General features: G+C 44.7%; 1 protein-coding gene across 11 annotated transcripts in view; it reads left to right on the top strand.

Moving 5' to 3' along the window:
- ANKRD29 (ankyrin repeat domain 29) overlaps positions 1–25,968 on the top strand; it is a 63,986-nt gene that overhangs the window by 3,158 nt on the left and 34,860 nt on the right. For 5 of the 11 annotated variants that reach the window (NM_001308238.2, NM_173505.4, XM_047437304.1 and 2 more), the window contains exons 2-5: positions 10,561–10,671; positions 13,467–13,565; positions 20,807–20,905; positions 25,605–25,703. In NM_001308238.2, the coding sequence (NP_001295167.1) occupies positions 10,561–10,671; positions 13,467–13,565; positions 20,807–20,905; positions 25,605–25,703 (408 nt within the window). Of the gene's footprint in view, positions 1–10,560; positions 13,241–13,348; positions 13,566–20,806; positions 20,906–25,604; positions 25,704–25,968 lie in introns of those variants that run through there. The other 6 variants (XM_017025561.2, XM_011525830.3, XM_047437308.1 and 3 more) reach the window with 3 other exon arrangements.

Raw genomic sequence — 25,968 nt, 5'->3', positions numbered from 1 at the left:
TTTGTCTTTTTTGAGATGGAGTCTCACTCTGTCATCAGGCTGGAGTACAGTGGCACGATCTCAGCTCACCGCAACCTCTGCCTCCCGGGTTCAAGCAATTCTCCTGCCTCAGCCTCCTGAGTCACTGAGACTACAGGCATGCGCCACCATGCCCAGCTAATTTTTGTATTTTTAGTAGAGACCGGGTTTCACCATGTTGGCCAGGATGGTCTCGATCTCTTGACCTCGTGATTCACCTGCTTCAGACTTCCAAAGTGCTGGGATTACAGGCATAAGCCACCGCACCCAGCCTCAAAAAGTTAAATATAGAGTTACCACATGACCCAGCAATTTCACTACTAGGAATATACCCAAGAGAAATGGAAACGTGTTCACACAAAAACTTGAACATAAAGATCCATAGCAATAGTATTCATAATAGTCAGAAAGTGGAAACAATCCAAATGTCCATAAACTGATGATAAAAACAAAATGTGGGCCAGGCACAGTGGCTCATCCCTGTAATCCCAGCACTTTGGGAAGCTGTGGCGGATCACCTGAAGTCGGGAGTTTAAGACCAGCCTGGCCAACGTGGTGAAACCCCGTCTCTACTAAAAATACAAAAATTAGCTGGACGTCATGGCAGGTGCCTGTAATCCCAGCTACTGGGGAGGCTGAGGCAGGAAAATCACTTGAACCCTAGAGACAGAGGTTGCAGTGAGCCAAGATCATACCACTGCATTCCAGCCTGGGTGACAGAGTGAGACTCTGTCTCAAAACAAACAAAAAAAAAGTGTTTTATATTATAAATACCATAGATAGGGAGGCTTAAACAACAGACATTTATTTCTCACAGTTCTGGAGCTAGGAAGTCTTGAGATCAAGGTGGCTGGTGAGGGCACTTTTCCTGACTTACAGATGGCCACCTGTGCATGCCCCGTTTCCTCACATGACCAAGAGAGAAAGCCCTGGTGTCTCTAATTCTTTTAAGGACATTAATTCCATCATGGGGGCTATACCTACACAACCTCTTTTAAACTTAATTGACTCCCGAAGACTGCTCCTCCTAAAATCATTACACTGGGCATTAGGACTTGAACACATGAATTTTTGGGGGGATGCAAACATTCAGTCCTCAGCCCCTGTCCTCCTGGCATGTCTGTCTTGCGTGCAACATATATTCATTCCATCCCAACAGTCCCCAAAGTTTTAGCTAGTTCCAGCATCAACTCTAAAATCCACAGTCTCATCTAACTATCTAAATCAGATATTGGGTAAGACTCAAGGTATGATTCATCCCAAGTGAAATTCTTCTCTAGCTGTGAGCCTGTGAAATCACACAAGTTTTTTGTTTTTGTTTTTGCTTTTGTTTTGAGACAGGGTCTCACTCTGTCGCCTGCCCAGGCTGGCACAATCACGATTCACTACAGCCTTGACCTCCTGGGCTCAAGCGATCCTCCTGCCTCAGTCTCCCGAGTAGCTGGGACTACAGGCTTGCACCACCATGCCTGGCTAATATTTTTTATTTTTTGTAGAGATAGGGGTCTCCCTGTGTTGCCCAGGCTGATCTCAGACTCCTGGACTCAAGCAATCCTCCTGCTTTGGCCTCCCAAAGTGTTGGGATTACAGGTGTGAGCCACCATGCCTAGTCCTCAAACAAGTTTTGTGGTTCTAAAATACGACAGTGGGACAGGCATAGGATATACATGTTTCCACCCCAAAAGGGAGAAATTGGAAGAAAGGAATGACAGGTCACAAGCAAGTCCAATACCTAGCAAGGCAAATATTATTAGAACTTAAAGTTTGAGAATAATCCTCTTTGGTTCAGTGCTTTGCCTTCTGAACTCACTGAGTGGTGGGTCCTGCTTTCTGGACCAACTCGGGCAGGGGATTGGGCTCGCAAGACATTGGTGGTTAGGGCTTCAGCATATGAATTTGGGGAGGAACACAAGCATTTAGTCCATAACATGGTAATCTGTACAATGGACTATCATTCAGCCATAAAAAGGAATGAAGCACTAATGCATGCTACAACATAGATGAAACTTAAAAACATATTCAGTGAAGGAAACCAGACACAGAATGCCATATATTGTATGATTCCATTTATATGCAATGTCCAAAATCGGCAAATCCATAGAGACAGAAAGTCGATTAGTGGTTGCCAGGGGCTGGGGAAGAGGAGGGGATGGCGAGTGATTGTTGATGGGTAGATAATCTGGAATAGATAGTGGTGATGGTTGTGCAACCTTATGATTGCACCAAAACCCACTGGATTGTATGCTTTGAAAGGATGAATTTTATGTATGTAGATTATATCTCAATTTTTTTAAGTATTTTTAAATCATAATAGGGAATGAGGAGAAGGCTTGGGGATGATTTTGCTGAGTGACTGAATTTCTCAGGGAGTTGAGGGCGGTGAGCCTGAGCTGGGCTCCATTCGCTGTGGAATTAGCTAGAATGGCAGAAGGAAACCTCTCCCGTTGGGCTAAAGGGAAAGGAGGTGAGGTTGAGTGTGGATGTTTTGTAAAGTGAAGCCCAGGATGAAGTCAGGATTTGGGGTAGGTAGAAAGGAGGCTGGCAAGCCAGGTGCCAACGTTTTCCATGAATAAGGAAGAACGATCAGGTGGTGAACGATAAGGAGGTGACAACTGCCAGGTGAGGTGAGGTAGAGGTTGGGAAGGTGGGACGACCTGAGTCTTGAAGGAGCAGAGATTTGCACCCCTGATGGAGGGGCAGTGGCCTGGAAGCCAGGTGGGCCTATTCACTGCAGTGCTGATGTGGGAGAAGGCCTTGCTTCCACCGGGAGCAGGCACTGGGGAGGTTGAGGCAGGGAGAGAGGGAGTGCTCTGCGCTAGGCAAAGGATGAAGAGGAGTTGATTTACTGTGAAATGGACTTCCAGAAGGCACAGAGGGAAGGTCTGTCCAGAGCAGAGTCCCAGGCCAGTCTGAGATTTGCATTAGCAACATTCTTCTATCCACCTCCCATCCTATCAAACATATTAAAATGCACCCACGGCCACAATAATAAAAGAGACCTTTTATTGTAAAATTTTTGAAAGGATTTTGTGACACTGCTTTTTAAATGATTTAGCTGTAAGTTACTCATTTAATTTACCTTTTGTCCATTTTTCTGCAGTTGTCATAGTTGGTCAGTAACTCATGCAGCGAGCAAATCAGACCTACAAATGATTTTCATGTGGCATCAGTATTTTATGAATACCAAATTTAGCAGTTAATAAAGTTGACAGGATGTTATGTTTTGTAGCTATTTAATTGAATATTTATTAACTTTGATTTGGGAAACACAGATTAACTTTTTCATTTTCATAGGCTCCTGAAAGACTCATAGGCCCTAGGCTCTGGGTCTCCAAAGCCTACGTGTAAAAAGGCCCTGGTTTGTTAGGCGAGTCTGTGGAAGAATAAATAGAGCATTATAAGTCACAATTTAGGCTCTTCTTGATGATTCAGAATCAATGTATGTAGGGCTGCTTGCATCTGAGCTACATGACTCCTTTGCGTCTACTTTTGATGGTTTTTCCGTCAAGCTGTTATCAGTGACTTCTCACTGGTACCACTTTGCCTCCAGCAAACTTCCTTTAACAACTGGCAACTCCTAATCTCTTCTGCTTGAGAACACAGACACATGTTTGTTAGAATTATCTTTTTTTTTTTTTTTTTTGAGACGGAGTCTCGCTCTGTCGCCCAGGCTGGAGTGCAGTGGCGGGATCTCGGCTCACTGCAAGCTCCGCCTCCCGGGTTCACGCCATTCTCCTGCCTCAGCCTCCCGAGTAGCTGGGACTACAGGCGCCCACCACTACGCCCGGCTAATTTTTTGTATTTTTAGTAGAGACGGGGTTTCACCGTTTTAGCCGGGATGGTCTCGATCTCCTGACCTTGTGATCCGCCCGCCTCGGCCTCCCAAAGTGCTGGGATTACAGGCGTGAGCCACCGCGCCCGGCCAGAATTATCTTTTAAAGTAAAACGAAACTCAGAGAATTATTTTTTAAAGTAAAAGGAGGCCAGGCACGGTGGCTCACGCCTGTAATCCCAGCACTTTGGGAGGCTGAGGCGGGTAGATCACCTGAGGTCAGGAGTTCAAGACCATTCTGGCCAATATGGCTAATACAGTGAAACCCCATCTCTACTAAAAAGTACGAAAATTAGCCAGGCGTTGTGGCAAGTGCCTGTAATTCCAGCTACTCAGGAGGCTAAGGCAGGAGAATCGCTTGAACCCGGGAGGCAGAGCTTGCAGTGAGTCGAGATCACGCCACTGCACTCCAGCCTGGGTGACAGAGTGAGACTCCGTCTCAAAAAATAAAAAAAATTAAAAAAAAGAATTTCATATTTCCTTCAGGGTCTGCTGTCATATGATACTATACCCCAGCCAGGTTGGAGTGGGTATCTTATTCTACAAAGAGTCTGTTTTGTGAATCTTATGAACTATATTTTAATATTAATGCTGGTTAATCGTTGCGCCTAAGTTCCAAAGGGAGTGAAGTGTAATGAGATATATCAGACCTCCCTTCCTGTCATGGCCTGAACTTTTCAGGTTTTCTTTGGGATCCCCTGGGCCAAGAGGGGGGTTCACTCAGTCAGTGGGGGGGCTTAAAATTTTATTTTTGATTTACAGGCTTGATGTTTGTTAAGCATTCTGAAAATTGTAAATACTTAGCACAAAGTGGGACAATGGATGTCTCAAAAACATCTTTCTGCATATAGCTTTGCAATCCATCACTACATCTTTATTTTATGTCACCTCTAATATCATAGAAATTCATTATTGAGTAGAGCTAATATTCTCTTGATTGAATTAATAAGTGTACGATTGAAGTCCACATTACTCTAAACTTTTTTAAACTAATAGTTTAAATTTCTACCCCCTCTTAGCTTTTAATTAGAATTCCAGTTCTGTACAAATAAATTTTCCTCTGTGTTTCCTCTCCCCTTCCTTCCTGTACAATTTCTGGAAGTGTACAGATGAGCAGTGTATTAGCCAAAATTCTGACAGTAAATGGAAGGGGGCAAGTAGGGAGAGAAGAAAATATGACAAATGTGGAAGCTTGCACTCAATTTTCTACAAGGTGTAAAATGTAAGATCTCAGACTCTGGACCCAAACAGACTATCAGACTTTTTTTTTTTTTTTTTTTTTTTTGAGACAGAGTCTTGCTCTGTCACCCAGGTTGGAGTGCAGTGGCGCCATCTTGGTTCACTGCAACCTCCACCTCCCAGGTTCAAGCAATTCCTTGCCGCAGCCTCCCGAGTAGCTGGGATTACACGTGTGGACCGTCACACCCAGCTAATTTTTGTATTTTTAGTAGAAACAGGGTTTCACGTTGTTGGCCAGACTGGTCTCGAACTCCTGAGCTCAAGTGATCTGCCTACCTCAGCCTCCTAAAGTGCTTGGGATTACAGGCGTGAGCCACCGTGTCCAGTCCAGACTTGGATTTATTTATTTATTTATTTATTTATTTATTTATTTATTTATTTATTTTTTGTGGAGGCTGGGGAAACAGAGTCTCGCTCTGTCACCAGGCTGGAGTGCAGTGGCATGATCTTGGCTCACTGCAACCTCCGCCTCCCGGATTCAAGCAATTCTCCTGCCTCAGCCTCTCAAGTAGCTGGGACTACAGGTGCGTGCCACCGTGCCCAGCTAATTTTTGTATTTTTAGTAGAGATGGAGTTTCACCATGTTGGCTGGGATGGTTTTGATCTCTCGACCTCATGATCTGCCCGCCTGGGCCTCCCAAAGTGCTGAGATTACAGGCGTGAGACACCGCACCCAGCCCAAACTTGGACTTAAATCCCGGCTCTGTTATTTGGATGAGCCAAGATCCTTACTGCGTGACCTTGACTAACTCATTCCTATGCTCAATTTCCTCATCTTAAAAATAAGAATAATAGGCCAGGCATGGTGGCTCATGCCTGTAATCTCAGCACTTTGGGAGGCTGAGGCAAGTGGATTACTTGAGGCCAGGAGTATGAGATCAGTCTGGCCAATGTGGCAAAACGCTAGCTCTACCAAAAATACAAAAATTAGCCAGGCATGGTCAGTGTCAGGCATGGTTGCAGTGAGCCCAGATTGCGCCACTGCACTCCAGCCTGGGCAACGGATCGAGACTCCATATAAAAGAGGGGAGGGGAGGGGAGAAGAGGGAAGGGAAGGAGAGGGGAGAGGAGGGGCCTTCCTTTAAAAAGTAAAAAATAAAAGAAAAAATGGGACTAGGCCAGGTGCGGTGGCTCACGCCTGTAATCCTAGCACTTTGGGAGGCCAAGATGGGCGGATCACGAGGTCAGGAGTTCGAGATCAGCCTGGCCAATATGGTGAAAACCCATCTCTACTAATAATACAAAAATTAGCCGGGCGTAGTGGCAGGTGCCTGTAATCCCAGCTACTCAGGAGGCTGAGGCAGAAGAATCGCTTGAACCCAGGAGACGGAGGTTACAGTGAGCCGAGATCATGGCACTGCACTCCAGCCTGGGTGACAGAGTGAGATTATCCATCTTAAATAAAAAGAAAAAATGGGAATAATTATCTCAGTCATACATTACTTAACAACAAGGACACATTCTGAGAAATGCACATTAGGTTATTCTTTCATTGCGCAAACATCATAGAGTGCACTTACTACAGACATAGAGAGTGTAGCCGACTGCACATCTAGGCTCTATGGTGTAGCCTATTGCTCCTGGGTGACAAAACTCTATAGCATGCTCCTGAATGGAATACTGTAGGCAATTGTTACACAGTGGTGAGCATTTGCATATCTAAACATATGTAAATGTAGAAAAGTACAGTAAAAAAATGGTATCATAATCTTACAGGGCCACTATCATTTATGCAGCCTATCATTATATATTACATGACTGTACTACCTCATGGGGCTGCTCCTGGAATTAAATGAGTTAAAGCAGTAAATTGTTTAGCACACTGCCTGATACAGAGCAAGATCTCAACTTAGTTGTCCTTGCTGTTACTTATAAGGTTGGAACCAGCAAGCCTGAGAGAAGCTCCTTGGTTTTATTGTAGAGATCAGAAAAATCAAGAAAGAGGTGAAATAGTAATAGCATGCTTGGTAAAGTGCTTTACAGTTTCTGTGATGTATTTTCACGTGCACTGTCTCCTTTAAAGGCTAGAGGACTGGCCCCATCTCTCGCCACACCATTTATGATTGTGTGCATATCATACTGAGAGGAGATTTGGAAGTTATCCAGGGAATGTGATGTGTATAGACCCCAAACAGAAGGAACGTTGGGGACTTTCCATCTTAGCTGGAGAGGAGCTTGGGATGGAGGATAGGAAGGAGGTCACCGGGGGTCACTGCTGCCTTACTCCTTGCTATCCACAGAAGAATTCCACAGGAGGCAGAACAGTGTGATGGGGAGTTAAAGGGCAGCCTCAAGCAAGAGACTGCCTGTTGCTGAAGCCTGACTTGCCATTTCTCACTTTCCTCATCTGTAAAATGGGGTCGTCCCAGTGCCCACTTCACTGAGCAAGGATGAGGATGAAATAAGCTAGTGTATGCAGAAGATACGCCACGTGGTCCAGAGTAAGCACTTTGCACTGAGTGAGCATTAGCTCAAGATTCCTGACCTCCAGTAAATGTGCCGGCCATAGGGTGACAGGAGCACCTGCCCATTTCTTTGCTAGACATTGCCACCTAGATGCCCCATAGGCACTTGAAACCCACCATGTCCAACCCTGAACTCATCATTTTTTTCCAAAGCCTGTCCTTCGTACGGTGTTTCCAATCTTCAAGAATTGGCACCAAGATCAGCCAGGCACTGGAACCAGAAATCAGGAGTCAATCCACTTTCCTATTCCCTCCTCTCCTGCACATACAATCACAGACCAAGGCTGTGGAGTTTAGCTCCTTAAAATGTCTCTGGTCTGTCTAATCTTCCCATACCCACTGTTGCTGCCTCTTAGTAAATTAAGCCCTTGAAGGAAAATGAAATATTTATAGCTTTTCACAAAGCTTGGTTTCTAGAACCTTATAGAAAACCAGGATGGCCAGCCCAGCTGGAGAGGAATCCCCAAGACCATCCTAAAGGGAGGAGAGGCCCCGACTAGAGATCTTGTTATGACAATAGACACTTGCTGTTTGCAGATGGTCTTTTGAAGGTATTTGGGGTTAAAGTGAAATGACAGAGTCCCTGAAAATGAATTACAGTCTATCATTCTTGTGTGTTTACCTTTCAGGAAAAGCTAGCAGAGCTGTTCCCTGGTGCATATTACATTGTCTGCCTGATTCACCCTACCAGACTTCATTTTGGCCTTGTGCAATCTCTTTGTTAAAAGGCTTTGTTTCATGATTCATTATACAGGTCAAACCTCCCTTGCCATTTCTTTGCCTAGTTACTGACAGCTGGAACAAATTAGACCCAGCCTGGTGCCTAAGCTGCAACACTGGTGTGAAAACCATGGTTGCAGTTTGCCTTGAAAACTCCAGGATAGCAAAATTTACACGGTCAGGAAAGGCAAATTGTTCATCTGAAATTGGAGGTGATTTTTTTCCCTTCTAAATGAGCCAGGAAACTATTCAAAGTATGTTTGCTGTTAGCTTATCACTCTCCACCCTGCCATTCTCTCATTCAGGTATGTACAAGGGCGTACGCCTGTGTATGTGCTGAAGGACTTCTGAAATGAAATCCTCACACCCACAAATACTGCTGCCACTGTCCTTTCATTTTAGAGGGCTTGTTGAGTAGCTGAAATTGTTGGTATTTTCTTTTGAGCTTAGAAAAAGCACTGTATTTAATACGATATCAATATATTTAAAAGGCATATTACGCAAAAGGCCTTTTGAGTCGCGTAGATGTTTTAAACCCACTCACAAAAAATGCTTTCATTAAACAATGTGAATACTTTTATAAAATTTCCTAAGACCATCAAAATTCTTTATTAGTACCAATACTCTGGATTTAATTTTGCCTATTGATTCTGACTTCGTAAAGAAAAGTAAATAGAGGAAAGGAAACTGGCACTTAATCAGCATTTATGGTGTGTTGGGTACAATATTAGGCAAAAATCAGCATCATTTAATACCGTCAACTTCAAGGCAGGTACTGTGATCTCCATCTAAGCAAGAGGAAACTGAGATTCCCAAGGGCCAACTTACTTGTGCAGGGCTGGGGTGAGCTGTCTGGTCCCAAAGCCAGTTCTTCCCTCTCGTCGACTGTTCTCTACAAACTCATATCAATTATTTTAGAGAAGAAGATTGTACTACAGTCAGCTCTGCCACCCATTTAGAAGACCTGTTTTCCACTTCCATGCTTTCCATAGGTATGGCTCCAAAATTAACTTTGTAGCTTTAAAATAACCCAGTAGGCCCAGTGCAGTGGCTCACGCCTGTAATCCCAGCACTTTGGGAGGCTGAGGTGGGTAGATTGCTTGAGCCCAGGAGTTCGAGACCAGCCTAGGCCACACAGCGAGAACCTCTCTACAAAAAATAAAATAATTAGCCGGGCATGGTGGCATGCGCCTGGGGTCTCAGCTACTCAGGATGCTGAGGTGGGAGGATGGCTTGAGCCTGAGAGGTCGAGGCTGCAGTGAGTCATAACTATGCTACTGCACTCCAGCCTGGGCAGCAGAGTGAGTCCCTGTCTCAAACAAACAAAACGATCCAACAGTGGAATGAAGGATCCATATGAAGACATGTAATGGCATTATTTGCCCTAAGTTCCTTGTTCTCAAGTCAAACCTCTGGCAAGTTCCAGCTGAAGCAAAGAAAATTAGATGGAGGGGCCGGGCACGGTGGCTCACACCTGTAATCCCAGCACTTTGGGAGGCCAAGGCGGGAGGATCACGAGGTCAAGAGTACAAGACCATCCTGGCCAACGTGGTGAAACTCTGTCTCTACTAAAAATACAAAAATTAGCTGGGCATGGTGGCGCACGCCTGTAGTCCCAGCTACTCAGAAGGCTGAGGCAGGAGAATCACTTGAACCCAGGAAGGGGAGGTTGCAGTGAGCCAAGATCACACCACTGCACTCCAGCCTGGCGACAGAGTGAGACTCCATCTCAAAAACAAAACAAACAAACAAAAAAAGAAAATTAGGTGGAGGAAAAGTGAAACATTCACACAGGTAGTTGGAATCAGATAGAAAGCATTGAGGGCTTAGGAAACGGGCAGGTAAACTCTTTTGAGAGGTCAGAATTGGGAGAAATTTTGCCCCACTTAGAGGTGAGGAAAGATTTGGAGTGTTTCTGGGAGGAAATAGCATTCGAGCAGAGCCTTGGCCTTGAAGGATGGAGGAAAATTCATTTCAAGCAAAAAGGAAACTGGGTGAACAAAAACACAACAGAGGCAGGAAAGTGAGAACATTAGTGGGAAATAGGTTATTAATAGTGCTGGATTATCAACAACACTGCTCTTCATAGCCATGTGGTGGCTCAGGTGTCTGGAATCCAACAGAGTTCATTCTGTTATTACAGTTGTCTATTGCTGGAGGATCAATCTTTCAAATGATGCAACACATCTGGATGTTCTTCTTTCTGAATGTTATTATCTATGTGCATAGCAGCAGTCATGTTAACTGACATCAATTTTAAGATCCTGTTTCATTTTGTTCTTGCAGAAGGAAACTCCACTTGCCAATGCTGCATTCTGGGCAGCCAGGAGAGGAAACCTGGCGCTGCTGAAGCTGCTGTTGAACAGCGGCCGGGTGGACGTGGACTGCAGAGACAGCGTACGGTGGTTCGGTAGATGCATGCCCAGCATGCACCATTGCCCTCTGTGGGCACAGGAGCACCTCAGGAATACATTCCCCTTTACAATGCTTATTTACTTTTTCATGTGTTTGCTTGCTTTATCCTTTTTAAAACATCCAAGGTACTGTGGTGAACTTAAAAACATGCTGGGGGAAGTCAGAAAGAAAAGGAAACAATGAAATGCATAAAACAGAAGGCAACCACAATAGGGAAAGAGGCACTTCACTGGGAATCAGAATTGGCAGATTACAAGAAGAAAAGCCTGTTTAGTGAAAGAATTCAAGCCAACCACTTCCATGAAAAGATGGAGATAATTTAGAGCACAAGTGGGCTGCCATGGATGTGGGCGTTATGTTTCTTCTACAAGGATGAGAAAACAAAAATTGAAGCCTCCCCCAGGATTTTATCCTTTCATTACCTCTTGAAAACATAAATACACTAATTGGCAATTTAAAAAGGGAAACAAAAATAGATACTACTGCCCACTGGCAGATACCACTTAGAGAGCTTTTCCATCCCCAGCTAGAGGCAATCGTTTTTCTGTCCTCAGCAAGACTTCTCATCTCTGGGACCAAGAGGACCTCCAATGAGGAAAGGGAGCGAGCAATGATGTTTTGATTTTAGGATTTGAATAAAAATGTTTCAAAGGAGCTTTGTTTTCCTGAAAACAGGGTGTGCCATTTCCAGCTTTTATTGTACAAATTTGAAATCTACCACAAGCCCAAAAGTGAAATAGCAGTTTGCCCCAGTTGGCCCCGTGGGGGCATCACAGTAGGATATCTTTGGTTTACGGGATATCTTTGGTTACACCTCCAGACCCACTCCACACCCTTCTCGCTCTTAGTCCCACAGTCTGAATTGTATGTACTGCTCCAGCAGACTCGCTTTCCTCTGGCCTCCAGTTGTGTTTGGCCCATAGGAGCATCTGCAGGAGTCAGAGGGTAGGAGGAGAGGGACATCAGGGAGCCCACCGCCCTCCCTGTTTCTGTCTGGCAGCAGCGCCCCACTGTTCTCTGCATCCTGGGAGCCGCTCCCTTCCCCCCTGGCACCTTCAGGCCTCAGCTGGTCATGGACCCCCACTGTTCCTAGATCCCAGTACTGTGCTGTTCTTTGTAGATGCCCTACACCCAGGCCTCAGCTTAATAGTCTCTTTATTACACTTTCTTCCAATTATCCCAATCTGAATGTACCATCTGTTCCTTGCCAGAACTCGGGCTGCTGTCAAGTCTTGGGCATCTGTGAACTGGCCATCTTGGTCTTATTTGGGTTTTACGGGGCTGGTTCCTACATCACAGTGGGAAAACTGTAGGGCAGAAACACCAGTTGTCACCGTGGCCAACACGGAGAAACCCGCCTCTACTAAAAATACAAAAATTAGCTGGGCGTGGTGGCAGGCGCCTGTAATCCCAGCTACTCAGGAGGCTGAGGCAAGAGAATCACTTGAACCTGGGAGGCGGGGGTTGCAGTGAGCTGAGATCGTGCCATCCCACTCCAGCCTGGGAGGCGAGACTTCGACTCAAAAAAAAAAAATACCATAGAGCACCACTAAGAAGCCATTAGCTTTTTGTTACTTCGTTACTTCGTTACTTTACCGATACTTTTTACATAAAGCCAACAAGACTTTCACAAAACTAGCATGGCCATTGACAGAAGTCAACAAAAGCCAGATGACAGCCTAACATTGAATTATCGTAATGTTATTTTAATATCTAACACTTACTGAACGAATATCTACCATTACTATGTTAACCATATTGCCTGACTTATCTCATTCAGTAATTTAATCAGGTGGATACTTTTATTATTCCCCCATATTTCAGATGAAGAGAATGAGACTTAAGGGTTACATGATGTGCCCAAGATCATACTGTCAGTGACTACTCAGCAATACTGCCTTCCTACAAAATCCCGTAGATGAAAATAACACGAAGCCTCCAAAATTCACTTAATTACCCTATACCTAATGAGCCTCCCCTGTGTGCAGAGTCACCTGTCTCTCTCATCATCCACTTCTGAGCAGCAGGTTGCTGAATATGCAGAGGTGGTAGCTAAGATTACAATTTCAAGTGCTTGAAAACAACTGTAAGTCAAACTGCAAATGCCCACTTCAATTAGAAGGGTCCATATCACATGGTACACCTCAGGTCCTTGAATCTTAAAGCTGGGACAGACTTTGGTGATCATCCCATCCAACCGCTCATTTTAAAAATGAAATAAATGAGTCCAAGTAATTGTAAGCAACTTGCCCAGGTTACACTGTTGGTCAGTGACAGCTACCTGGGTTTAGCCCCCACAGCTCCTGACTCTCAACTCTGTAGTCTCTCATTTCACCTGGTGCCATACATCTTTACCTGAATCATTTTGAAGATGAAGACTTTTAAATATGGAAAATCAGATGGTACCATTTAATTTTTCTTTTGCATTAATAGCAATGTTTTGGCTCAGGAATCATTTAATAGGAATCATAAAATGAGAGCAATATATCATCGCTGCCTTAAAATGCAGTAACTATGGTTCATTTGGACTGTGCTTCTGAAGGTAATGGAAGTAAGTGAATTTTTACATCGAAAATTCCAACCTCAGCAATTTGTCACTTTGCTTTTTCCCATCTAGGCTGCATGATGAGATTATTCATGACCACTTTTATCACTGCAGGGAATTTTGCCCTTGGATGTGTTCTGAGTGGAGCTGACATCTCTGCAGCATCTTCTCTAGGACCCTTCTCTCTGACATAGCAGTGGCCTAACTCTTCATCTGTCTCTCCTCCATCCAGCATGGCACCACACTCCTGATGGTTGCTGCCTACGCTGGCCACATAGACTGTGTGAGGGAACTGGTTCTGCAAGGAGCAGACATCAATCTCCAGAGAGAGGTAGGTCAGGCTTTGCACTTGAAGAAAAATGACCAGGCTCAGAGATCTGAAGTTTTCATGATAGTGAACTGGTATGGGGGACAAGAGCCATCATTGCTTTTCTCCCACATTAAAGCCCATTGCAGAGTTTATTGTGCCTACAATGAGGTCCAGCAACGTACTAGCAGTTATAATGCATTTGAGCGTAGCCTGTCGGGCATATCTGAGGTAACCAAACCTCTTACCACCTGCCTATAAACACTCACACTTTTTTTTTTATCAAGCTTAAATCAGTTCTTTATTACTCCCTTGGGATGAGATACTGTAGGATTTATAGCATTTTCATATAGATCATTATATTTTTAGAAGAGTTGAGTCACCAGCCTATTTGTAATGAGGCTCACTTGCTAGGATGTCTCAATCATCCTCCCCAAACCATGTTTTCAAAGGACTGCTCTCTAACTGGCCATGAATTAAATAAGCTCTCCTGGAAAAAGCCGTATGGGTCAACACTGGACAAAAATGTGAGCCTGTTCCCACACTTCATTCAAGGACAATCTTGGGAGTTTGGTCTTGCTTGAGGATCCATTCTTGGTCTAATCTAGAGAAGCAGAAGGGAGTCTGGGACTTTTTTTTAAGATGGAGTCTCGCCCTGTGGCCCAGGCTGGAGTGCAATGGCGCAACCTCGGCTCATGCAACCTCCACCTCCCAGGTTCAAGTGATTCTCATGCCTCAGCCTCCCGAGTAGCTGGGACTGCAGGTGTGTGCCACCACGCCCAGCTAATTTTCTGTATTTTTAGTAGACATGGGGTTTCACCATGGTGGCCAAGATGGTCTCGATCTCCTGACCTCGTGATCTGCCCACATCAGCCTCCCAAAGTGCCGGGATTGCCTAGGCTGGGACATTTTAACATACTTTGGGGCTCAATTCTGAGAAAGCTCCATCCATATATTTCCAAGCTGACCCAGGACCTGGTAAACTAATCTTTATGGAGACACACGCTCAGGTCACCCCTAGAGTGTATCTGACCTCTCAGTTCACACTGACTCAGACCTGAGATGGGCTTCCTGGGCAAGTCCAGACTGAACCACTTGGTTTTCCTTGGTCCAGCCTTATTTTATCCCAGGTCATGCCTTGCAACATTTTAGAAAGACAATTCACCAACCAAACTTTCATCAAGCCAGTATATCGTATATCTCATTCTTCCAGCCTGGACCGTCACCTCTGAGTGGAGCAAATTAAGACACATCAGGTCTCAGGACTGTGTCAAGAGTTCCAGGTGTAACATAGGCCTGGGCAACATAGCAAGACCCCATCTCTACAAAAAAATTTAAAAATTTAGCCAGACATGGTGGTCTACACCTATAGTACCAGTTACTTGAGAGGCTCAGGCTAGAGGCTCGTTTAAGCCCAGAAGTTACAGGCTGCAGTGAGCCATGATTGTACTACCAGCCTAGGCAATGCAGAGAGACCCTGACTCAAAAATAGAGTTCCAAGACACATCCAGATGTCCTTCCCACCACCCGTCTGGGTGTTGGAGGCCTTGGCTGTGGACCATGAAAGAGTGACATGCAGAATCTGGGACTGGGTCTCTGTAGCCCTGGATCAACAGGCCTGGTCTCTTGAGAGGAGCAGTATAAAGAGACTACAGCAAATGCAGTCTTCTCACAAACAGATTCTTTGGTGCAATTTCCATAACACTAGATCGTTGTTTGAGGTCATTTTCACTTCAGCACTTAATTTTCCTGTGGGATGAAAATATCTGGACCCACTTAGAATTACAGTTTAAAATTACTTTAATCTTTTTATTTTTCCTCTCTGCTTTATGGTCTTTGTTTATTACAACTTTAAAGACAGTTTTTCTCTAATAAAAACAATATGGTCCAGATCTGGTTTACTTTAAAAACTTTATCCTGAAGGACAAATTGCACATGCACAAAAATCTCTCTGAAACAACTGAGAAAAGCAGCTAGAAGAGGAGAGAAGTATTTGATTTCTAGCCAGTCTATGGTTTCTATGGTTTTATATTTATCCATTTGGTTCCAATTGCTCAACTAATCTTGGAGATGAAAACTCTCGTAGCACTGAGAACAAAAGCCTTTGAAGATTTACCAAAGTGTACTCAGCTTAAAGGTAACCTGCGTGGCTCAAATGATGGTGCTATGTAAGTTCCTGGCAGTCCCTGAATTTCCTGAGACTGTGTCAGTCTGGGGCAAGAGGGCTGCCAAGCCAAAGGCAGACCTCAGCCTCCTGTACCAGTTTTGGAAGCTAAGAGTGCCTTGCAGTGCTTTGAAACTTACTCCTATGGCAGACTTCTGCCTTGATCCATTGTTAGTTAATCCACTTTGCAATATCAGAATATTTGTCTCCTGAAAAACTACCTGCCACTCCTTGCTTAGGTCAGCTCTCTAGATACACAGAGCTTGCTAGAGAGACAAACTGGAAACTAATGTTCCTGAAACACTATTGCTGTAAAGAACCCACAATTGGCTGATGACACCTCTCAGGCATAGGAGCTGCACATACAGTTGGCATGAAGCCCTGAAGTAAGGCACACATATTTAAAACTTTTATTCACATTCCAGACTAAGGTATAGCTCCTATTTATGGATTGCTGCATTGAGGTACAGAATGATTAATAGTAGTATGTATGTTCTAAAATCAGCTCAAACTGCTCTAATAATGATTTATGTAATTAATGTACCAAGAAAGCCTATTGAAAAGCAAATTATTTATCTTACTAAAGAAACAACTTCTAGAAAAGACCTTTGGTAGTCTCTAAAATTTAATATCTATTGAGAAGGTGAGAGTTTTCCTATTCTAGCCAAGTTTCTTCCTCCAGAACTATTAATTCCCTAAGGTTTCCGGAACCCAGCATCATCAACTGTAATAAAGCAGTGGGAGGATGCTTCCCACTTATTTCTGTGGGAACCAAGGAGAAAATCACACCTGCATTGCAGGCAGAAAGGCCCTGTGAATGGTCACAATGCCTGTGCCTTCCTGGGACAGAGTCTGGCTGAGGGCACAGCCTGATGTGGGTTATATCTGACTAGGAAGGTGTTACATGTTCTCCCTCAGTGGTGGTGTTATCAGCACCCTAGATTCTTATAATCTCCCAGGATAGAAGTCAAAAGAGATTGTCAGATAGCAAAGAGGAAGTTTGTTTAGCTTGTGCATAAGAGAACCAGGTTCCCTTATGGAAAGGAAAAGGGTTGCCTGCTCCCCAAGAGAAGTATGTGAGTTTGTTTTATAGGGTCTTTTTACAGGGAAGGGTTTAGTCAGGGCATGTACAGCACTTGCACAGTAGCTCAATATGCTTTTTAATCATTGCATGTAAGATTAGCATTTTAAATCTCCACCTTCAGGTGTGATTTTTAGCATTAAGATAAGGAAGAGGTGACTGTAAGTTGAAGTTTAAGTCTAACTGTGCATGCAGGGCCCCAGGAAGTCCCTACCCACCTAAAGTGAGAACTTCTGGATAGTTTCTTGGGTCTTTTGTTGCTGATTGGCTGTCACAGGATCCTTAGGGTGTCACTTTGCCAGCTGGAAACCTCCATGGCTAGCAGCGCCTTCTGCCCAAGTGTTGCTCAGGCCCGTTGGGCTCATTCTGCCCACTTGGCCCAGCAGGTTGCACTTGGTTCACCCTACCAGCCCAGGTCCCATGCCTGCCAAGGGCAAGCCAGGTGTGTGAGCAAGCATGGGGTCCAGCCACTGCACACAACCAGGCATGCCAGCTGTGGCGAGGCAGGCAGCTCCAGCCACTGGCACAGGTGCCAGCTCTGTGTGAGGCTGTGGCTGGACCAGATGTACCGCAAGTGGCTTCCGCTGCAGGCACCAGGGAATGTAGTGGTGCCTGGGAGCTTGGAGATGCCAGGAACCGCAGAGCCCCAAAGAGGATATCATAGCCCTGGCTCAGGGAGCCCCTAGGTCTGGGCTCCCCAAAGGGCTGTAGCTCCTCTCTCCTCATTGCCTGCAATGTGGCAAGCAGAAGGCGTGTTTCAGCCCTGTTTGTGTTATAAACAGGGTCATTCGCCAGGTCCTAAATTCTTGTCCCGCATCCAAGAAGAATGAGGTATGCAAACAACTGGAGGGTGAACAAAGTGGAGAGGAGCTTCATTGAGTGACAGAACACCTCCCAGGAGACCCAAAGTGGGTGGCTCTTTTCTGCAGGCAGGTCATCCTAACAAGTGTTCAGCTCTCAGTGGAGAGGAGACCCATAGTGGGTAGCGCCTTTCCGCAGGCAAGTCATCCTGATGATCTGAGGAGACCCAAAATGGATAGCTCCTCCCGCAGCTGGTAGTCCCGATATCTGGGTCCAGCTCTCAGCAGAGAGGAGACCCACAGTGTGTAGTTCCTTCCTGTAGCTGGTAGTCCTGACCTCTGTGTCCTGCTCTCAGTGGACAGGAGACCCACAATGGGTAGATCCTTCCAGCAGCTGGTAGTCGGGACATCTTTTTGAATCTGGCTGAGTCAGAGGTTTTTATGGGCTCAGAAAGGAGGGAGTGTGTGCTGATTGGTCCATGGGAAGCCATGGGTGGGAACGTGTCTGCCTCTCACCATCAACATGCCATCCACGGCACCCAGGCTGTTCCTGCCAAGGGGCGCCTACAGGCCCACACCTAGCTGCCCTCAGCCCCTCAGCCTCCCTCCTGTGCTTGTCAGCACCCAAAGTCCGGAGGGGGCCAAGGTTGGGGGGCAAGGCTGGCATGTCAACACCACCTCAAGCATACACACCTCAAGCATGCTCTCCCCTAGCCAGGTCATGACAGACAGCACCCAGGCTCGGCTACAGCTTTGCTCCGCACTGGAGCAGGTGCCGGGAGTGGGGAGAGGCCAGGGAGCAGGAGCAGGCACTTCCAAGCCTGTGGGGGTAATGGGGGCTTCCCAGGCCCAGAGAGCACAGGGATGCCCAGAACCGGAGCTGCAGCTGGGCATGGCTGCTCCCGCACAGCCAACTCAATAGGGGATGGGGCTCCCACCTGCTTCCAGCTCCCACTGGACCTGAGGAGCATGCAGCCCCAGCTGCACCTCCCGTGTGGCAGCCTGCATCTTCGCAGCTGCTGCTCCAGACAGGCCACCACTGCCATCAGTGAGAAGTTAGGCAAGCTACAGCTTGAGTAAGGGGCTTTTTTTTTTCTAGACCACATTTAAAAACAGGCAAACAAGTGGGTGGATCCTGCCTGTCTCAGTGGGTCTTATTGTCCCCACTCCCATCCCACACATGCATGCACACACGTACATATTCACAGAGACACCCAGGCCCTTAAGAACAAGTTTTAAGCATGATCACTAGCTTATAGGCCAGGCTGTCCTCAGCTTTTCACACATGAGTGAGACCTACCATCTTAACAGCTTTGGGTAAACTATGGAAAAAGGGATTTCTTTTCACTGTGTCTGGTAAGGTGTGGTATTAGCTTTGTCCCAAGCTCCAAGCTCAGAAGTGAAGAGTACTCTATAGGAAAAATGTATGTTGCCCACAAGAATGGTTCATTATTTTGCTCATATTACACAGTGATTTGGGTACCAATCTTTGAGTAGACTTGTAAAAGTAGATAGGAAGGGAGGATGCTAAAAACTGTGTCTCAGAATGTCATGATCAGTTTAAATTTTAGAATCAGGATGTTTCTTGTTATTATGTCCCATTTTGAGAAATGTTTTGAGCTCATTTTGACTCTGGGCTTGCAATTGGAGAAGTTTGTGGGTGAATTACTTATTTTCCTTCTTGTACAAGTAGTCTTCCACTCTGGGGCGCTAAAATTTGTAATTTGAATTCTTCCCTGTATTAAGGAATGCTAGTGTTTACCAAACACTATACCAAATATCTTGAGTTTCCAAGGGCTGCTGTGACAAATTAACACAAACTAGGTGGCTTCGAACATCAGGAATTTATTCTCTCAGATCTGGAGGCCAGAAGTCCAAAATCAAGGTGTGGGCTGTGCCGCACTGCCACTGGAGGCTCCTGGGGGAATTCCCTTCCTTGCCTCTTCCAGCCCCTGGTGGCTGTCAGCACTCTCTCCTCAATGCCACAGCTCTCCAGTCTCTGCCTATGTGGTCACATTGGCCTCTCTCTGGGTCAAATATCCCTCTGCCTCACTTCAAAAAAAAATTTATTGTTTTTTATTGTGGTAAAATACACATAATGTAGACTTTACCCTCTTAGCCATTTTTAAGTGTACAGTTCAGTCTTATTAAATGCATTCATAATGTGGTACAACCAACATCATCACCCATCTATAACTCTTTTCATTTTGTAAAACTACACAACTCTGTATCCATTAAATAATAACTTCCCATACTCCCCTTCCCCCAGCCCCTGGCAACCAGCATCATACTTTCTGGTTCTATAACTCTGACTACTTTAGATATCACAGCAGGCTGGGTGCAGTGGCTCATGCCTGTAATCCCAGCACTTTGGGAGGCCAAGGTGGGCAGCTCACTTGAGGCCAGGACTTTGAGACCAGCCTGGTCAACATAGTGAAACCCTGTTTCTACTAAAAATACAAAAAATAGCCAGATGTGGGGGTGCACGCCTGTAATCCCAGCTACTTGGGAGGCTGAGGCATGAGAATCACTTGAACCTGGGAGGCAGAGGTTGCAGTGAGCCGAGATGGCACCACTGCACTCCATCCAGCCTCGGTGACAGAGCAAGACTCTGTCTCAAAAAAAAAAAAAAAAAAAATCACAGTAAAATCATACATAGTTGTTGGCCTTTTATGACTAGCTTATTTCACTTAGCATAATGTTATCAAGGCTCATCCATGTTGTAGCATATGTCAGAATTTCCTTTCTTTTTAGCTAAATAATAGTCCATTGTATGGATACATCACATTTTGCTTGTCTCCTCATCCATAGATGGACACTTCAGTGCTTCCACATTTTAGCTGTTGTGAGTAGTGCCTCTGCCTCACTCTTAGAAGGACACTTGTCATTAGATTTAGGGCCCACCCAGATAACCCAGGATAAGCTCTTCTCAAAATCCTTAACTTAATCACGTCTTTTGCCATAGAAGGTAATATTCACAAGTTTTAGGATGGGGACAGATCTTTTGAGGAGCCACCATTCATCCCATTTCACTAAGAATAAAGTTTTCCTTTCCTTTTGTCACTTCTCTGACCAAAAAATAAGAATCTGTTCAAATTTAGCCCCTTCCTAGGCTAGAAGTTTTCTATGCAAGGATATTGTTTTGTTTTCTTTGCAGATGTTCAAATCAAATGTAAGATAACCAAATGTCTTTTAAAACTAGCCTCTCCCTCTCTCCCAGTCAGGTACAACTGCCCTATTCTTTGCCGCCCAGCAAGGCCATAATGATGTCGTGAGATTTCTCTTTGGATTTGGAGCATCCACTGAATTTAGGACCAAAGTGAGATAACCTTCTTGATTTTGTATTATGTTGAAGAATTTCAGCAGCCATGGGTATTGCTTTTCTCCTCATCTATGGTACGAATTTATGTTTCCCTTTTTACAAGATTCTCAAACCTAAGTAAGTGGATTTCCTCAAGGTTACTTGTAGTGGTTCAGGGGTAGCTCTAAGGGTTCTATTCAAAACGTTACATTTTTACTCTGGGCTCACAATTGGAAAATTTTATGGGGAATTACTTCTATCCTTTCCTGAACTGATACCTTTCTACTGTAGAACACTAAATTTTGTAACCAGGAGGGATACAGTAGCAGTGGCTTTCTAACTTTCCCTGTTTCCATGTTCTTTTTCCCACTGAAGATTAATTCTGATACTATGATAGGAATTGTTGGAAGTATTAATCTGATCCTACTAGATCTGAGACATTTCTAAAGAGGGTGGTTTGGCAGACAGCTTACTTTCATGAGCTATCCTCACTGAAATACATAATACATAGCTACAGTTTACATAGTTGGGAAACTATATAGTGGTTCTTCCTTTAAAGAAGTAATTGGCTAGGCGCGGTGGTTCATGCCTGTAATCCCAACACTTTGGGAGGCCGAGGCAGGGGGATCACGAGGTTAGGAGTTCGAGACCGGCCTGATCAACATGGTGAAACCCTGTCTCTACTAAAAATACAAAAAAAAATTAGCCAGGCGTGATGGCACATGCCTGTAATCCCAGCTACTCAGGAGGCTGAGGTAGGAGAATCACTTGAACCCGGGAGGCAGAGGTTGCAGTGAGCCAAGATCACGCTACTGCACTCCAGCCTGGGCGACAGAGTGAGACTCTGTCTCAAAAAAAAAAAAAAAAAAAAAGAAGTAATTGATTTTCATTTTTGACATATAGATAAGAAAGCTGAGAATGTAGAAAGATTAATTTCATGTTGACAGTATGATTTTACATGATAATATTTTGTAGTAGCAGAATTTGAACTGCCGTAAGATTTTTGTAATTGTCAGCTCATTTCTAGCCTAATTATAATTTTTAAATTCCTGAAAATGTGCGCAAGTTGGAAACTTTTAGGTTTTCTTAGTTAATCCTTTTTGTGGACTATTTAGATATCAAGGGAGTTTCCAGTGGGATTTTTTTTCTGTTAAAATGGTAACTACTGGAGCTGGCCAAGGTGGCTCACACCTGTAATCCTAGCACTTTGGGAAGCTGAGGCAGGAGGATAGTTTGAGCTCAGGAGTTCAAGACCAGCCTGGGCAACAAAGCGAGACCTCATCTCTATTAAAAAAAAAAGGATTCGCTGGGCATGGTGGCACATGCCTGTAGTCCCAGCTATTTGGGAGGCTGAGGCGGGCAGATCACTTGAGCCCGAGAGGTCAAGGCGGCAATGAGCCGTGATCATGCCACTGCACTCCAGCCTGGGTCACAAAGGAAGACTCTGTCTCAAAAAAATAAATCAAATAATAAAATTCTAACCATTAAGTAGATGTGAATTTCATATAAGGTTTTGTCTTTTCTGAAACCTGCTATTGTACTACGTATATGCCTTCAAACTTACTGAGTATAACATACAGTAATACTATATATTTTTTTACATTATTAGTTTATTTTCTATTATAAAAGTGATAACTAAAAATAGAAAGTAAAGTCCTATGAACCTAAATCTCAACTCTTTGAACGAAGGTCAAAATGATCGTGAGTGACCATATGGCTGCTTCAGTCTTCTTGGTTAACGAGTGAATACTGGCTTAAAGCCTTTGTACATGAGCCAGTTTGTACTATCTCAGAAATCCATGGAACATGGAACTCAGGATGAGCAATTCCACAGGTTTCCATTAGGTCAGCTGCAGGTATCCAAGAGCTTTCCATGGGAAGAAGAGAGGGCTGAGAGGCTTTCAGTTTTAAATGATTCTGTCATCAAAACTTTGCTTCAACAATTGTTCTCACTGCTACTAAATCTATATGCCCCAAAACTGTGTTTTATAAAATAAAAGAGGCTGGGCATGGTGGCCCACACCTAGCACTTTGGGAGGCTGAGGCAGGCAGATCGCTTGAGCCCAGGAGTTCAAGACCAGCCTGGGCAATATGGCGAAACCCCGTCTTTATCAAAAATACAAAAATTAGCCAGGCATGGTTGCATGTGCCTGTAGTCTCAGCTACTTGGAAGGCTGAGATGAGAGGATCGCTTGAGCCTGGGAGGTCAAGGCTGCAGTGAGTCATGATTGCGCCACTGCACTCCAGCCTGGGTGAGAGTGAAACCCTGTCTAAAAAAAATTTTTTTAATTAAATCAAAGAGGCCAGGTGGGATGGCTCACACCTGTAATTCCAGCACTTTGGGAGGCCAAGGTGAAAGGATTGCTTGAGACCAGGAGTTGGAGACCAGCCTGGGCAATGTAGCAAGACCCTATCTCTATAAAACATTTTTTAAAAAATTAGTCAGGTATTGTGATGCCAGCTACTCAGGAGGCTAGGGTGGGAGGATTGCTTGAGCCCAGGAGTTCTAGACCGGCTTGGGCCACATAGCAAGACCCCATCTATAAAAAAGTAAAAAATATTTTAAAAGCTGGCACAGTAACATACACCTGTAGTCCCAGCTACTCAAGAGGCTAGGGCAGGAAGATCGCTTGAGCCCAAAGTTCAAGGCTGCAGTGAGCCATGATTGCACAACTGCAGCCAGCCTGGGCGACAGAGCAGGACCCTGACATACATACATACATACATACAAAAATAACAGCAGTTCCTCCATAAGAATCTTCATATTTTATCTTTTCTGTTACTTTATTAGGCAGGAAAATTTATTACTTTATTAGCTAGGAAAATTGACAGGATAAAGCTTAGAAATGGTGCTTATTCCTGCTGTTACGCAATTCTGTGATGCCTCCTCACCACTGCCGTCTACCACCAGCTTCAGCCTTCAGCCTCCCTCCTCTCCATTCCCCACACTTCAAAGCCCATCTCAAGCACCCTCCCCCACCACAGAGCCTGCCTCTGGGGAAGCACTACCCAGCCACACGCAGCCCCATAGGATGTTACCTGCCTACGAATTCGAGACCTCTTATAGCAGTGTTTCTCCACATGAGGCCCACCTGCCACCTGCCTACACAATCAACCCACATGACTGGTCAAAAGGCATATTTCTGGATCTCACCCCAGACCTACTGAAGGCAGGGCTGAGGGTGGGGATCTATGAGTAGGCATTTTGAATAAACACCTTATGCCCAAATTTAGAAACTACAGTATCTTATATTTATGATTCATGTTTTAGAACCAGGTTATGTGTTTTTGAATTACTTACAATTAGCTCAGATGTCCAGTTCAGAGAGCCAAACAACTCAACAACGCTAGATGGGAAAAAAGAATGCCTTAGCTGTAGCACCTGAGGAAAACAATTAAGGATTTTAGTTGACCACAAACTCAATGAGTCAGCAGTGTGATGTGGTTGGTAGAAAAGCTCTAATTTAGGCTGCAGAGATAAAAGTAGAGTAGATGGAACACAGGAATATCCCATTCCACATCAGAGCATGTGTGCTTTACAGTGCCCTGCTTAGTTGGGTTTTTTTTTTTTTTTTTACTTTTTTTATTTGTTTGTTTTGACACAGTGTCTCGCTCTGTCACCCATGCTGGGGTGCAGTGGTGTGATCTTGGCTCACTGCAGCCTCCACTTCCTGGGCTCAATTGATCTTCCGACCCCAGCCTCCCAAGTTGCTGGGACTACAGGCGCACACCACCACACCCTGGCTAATTTTTGTTGCTCAGGCTTCTGCTTAGTTTTTAGGGCCACACTTTTAAAGAGCCCTGGACAAATTGGCACATGTTAAAAGGAAAATACTAAGTAGGATAGTGAGAGACACACAGAATGTGCCATAGCTATCCGCTCTTTTAATGGCAGCAGATCTTGTCCCATGAGGGCAATGGCCCCAGAGGGTTACCCCATACAAACACCTTAATCTCAGTGGCTTACCACTGGGTTACATCACAGGGAGAAGACGGCGTTTCCCCAGGAAGTCTCTGGCTAGAAGCCCTGGGAGGCTTTTCTGATGATTCCAAGAACTGACAAGACTTTCTCTTCTGTGTTTCTCATATTGAGAAGCAAATAGATGATGCTGCATTTGGCATAGGAATTTTCTAAATTAATTCACAATAAATAACTTGGTCAAAAAACTGTAATACATCTCTAGCAAGCCGCCCACATATACAACATAATCACGTCCTTAGGATGAACTCTGCCATAATTATAAAGAAAAAGTAAAAGGGATAAAAGAGGGAAAGTAGGCTGGACATGGTAGCTCACACCTGTAATCCCAGCACTTTGAGATGTCGCGGTGGGCAGATCACTTGAGGTCAGGAGTTCAAGACCAGCATGACCAACATAGTGAAACCCCATCTCTTCTAAAAATACAAAAATTAACTGGGCATGGTGGTGCACGCCTGTAGTCCCAGATACTTGGGAGGCTGAGGCAAGAGAATCGCTTGAACCCAGGAGGCGGAGATTGCAGTGAGCCAAGATCGCACCACTGCACTCCAGCCTGGGTGACAGAGCAAGACTCCATCTCAAAAAAAAAAAAAAAAAAAAAAAAAAAAACAGGGAAAGTGAGTTTGTTATTATCTTTGGGAAAACTCTCTTCCTAAATTCTATGTATGTGAGGAACATCTGCTGGTGAATTATGTGCCTGCGCCACCTCTAATGTGTTTATACTTTGCATGTCCATAGGACGGGGGCACCGCCCTGTTGGCTGCCAGTCAGTACGGGCACATGCAGGTGGTGGAGACCTTGCTGAAGCACGGAGCAAACATCCATGACCAACTTTATGTGAGTGCATTTCAGGGGGACATTAGGACATTTCTCATCACATACAAAATTGCAGTCTAAATTCAGATGCCAGAAATGCCAACTTCAAAAATACTTTAATGGACAGTAGGACTTGGGTCTGAGTCAAGAGAAAAATATATAGCGGACCAGATGGGCTTTTTTTATATAGAAACCACATATCTGGCCGGGCGCGGTGGTTCACGCCTCTAATCCCAGCACTTTGGGAGGCCGAGGTGGGTGGATCACAAGGTCAGGAGTTCGAGAC

The sequence above is a fragment of the Homo sapiens genome, chromosome 18 (assembly GCF_000001405.40).
Source record: "Homo sapiens chromosome 18, GRCh38.p14 Primary Assembly".
Classification (NCBI taxonomy): Eukaryota; Metazoa; Chordata; class Mammalia; order Primates; family Hominidae; genus Homo; species Homo sapiens.
Note: the sequence above shows the minus strand (reverse complement) of the source record. Positions and strands in the feature narration are given on the sequence as shown.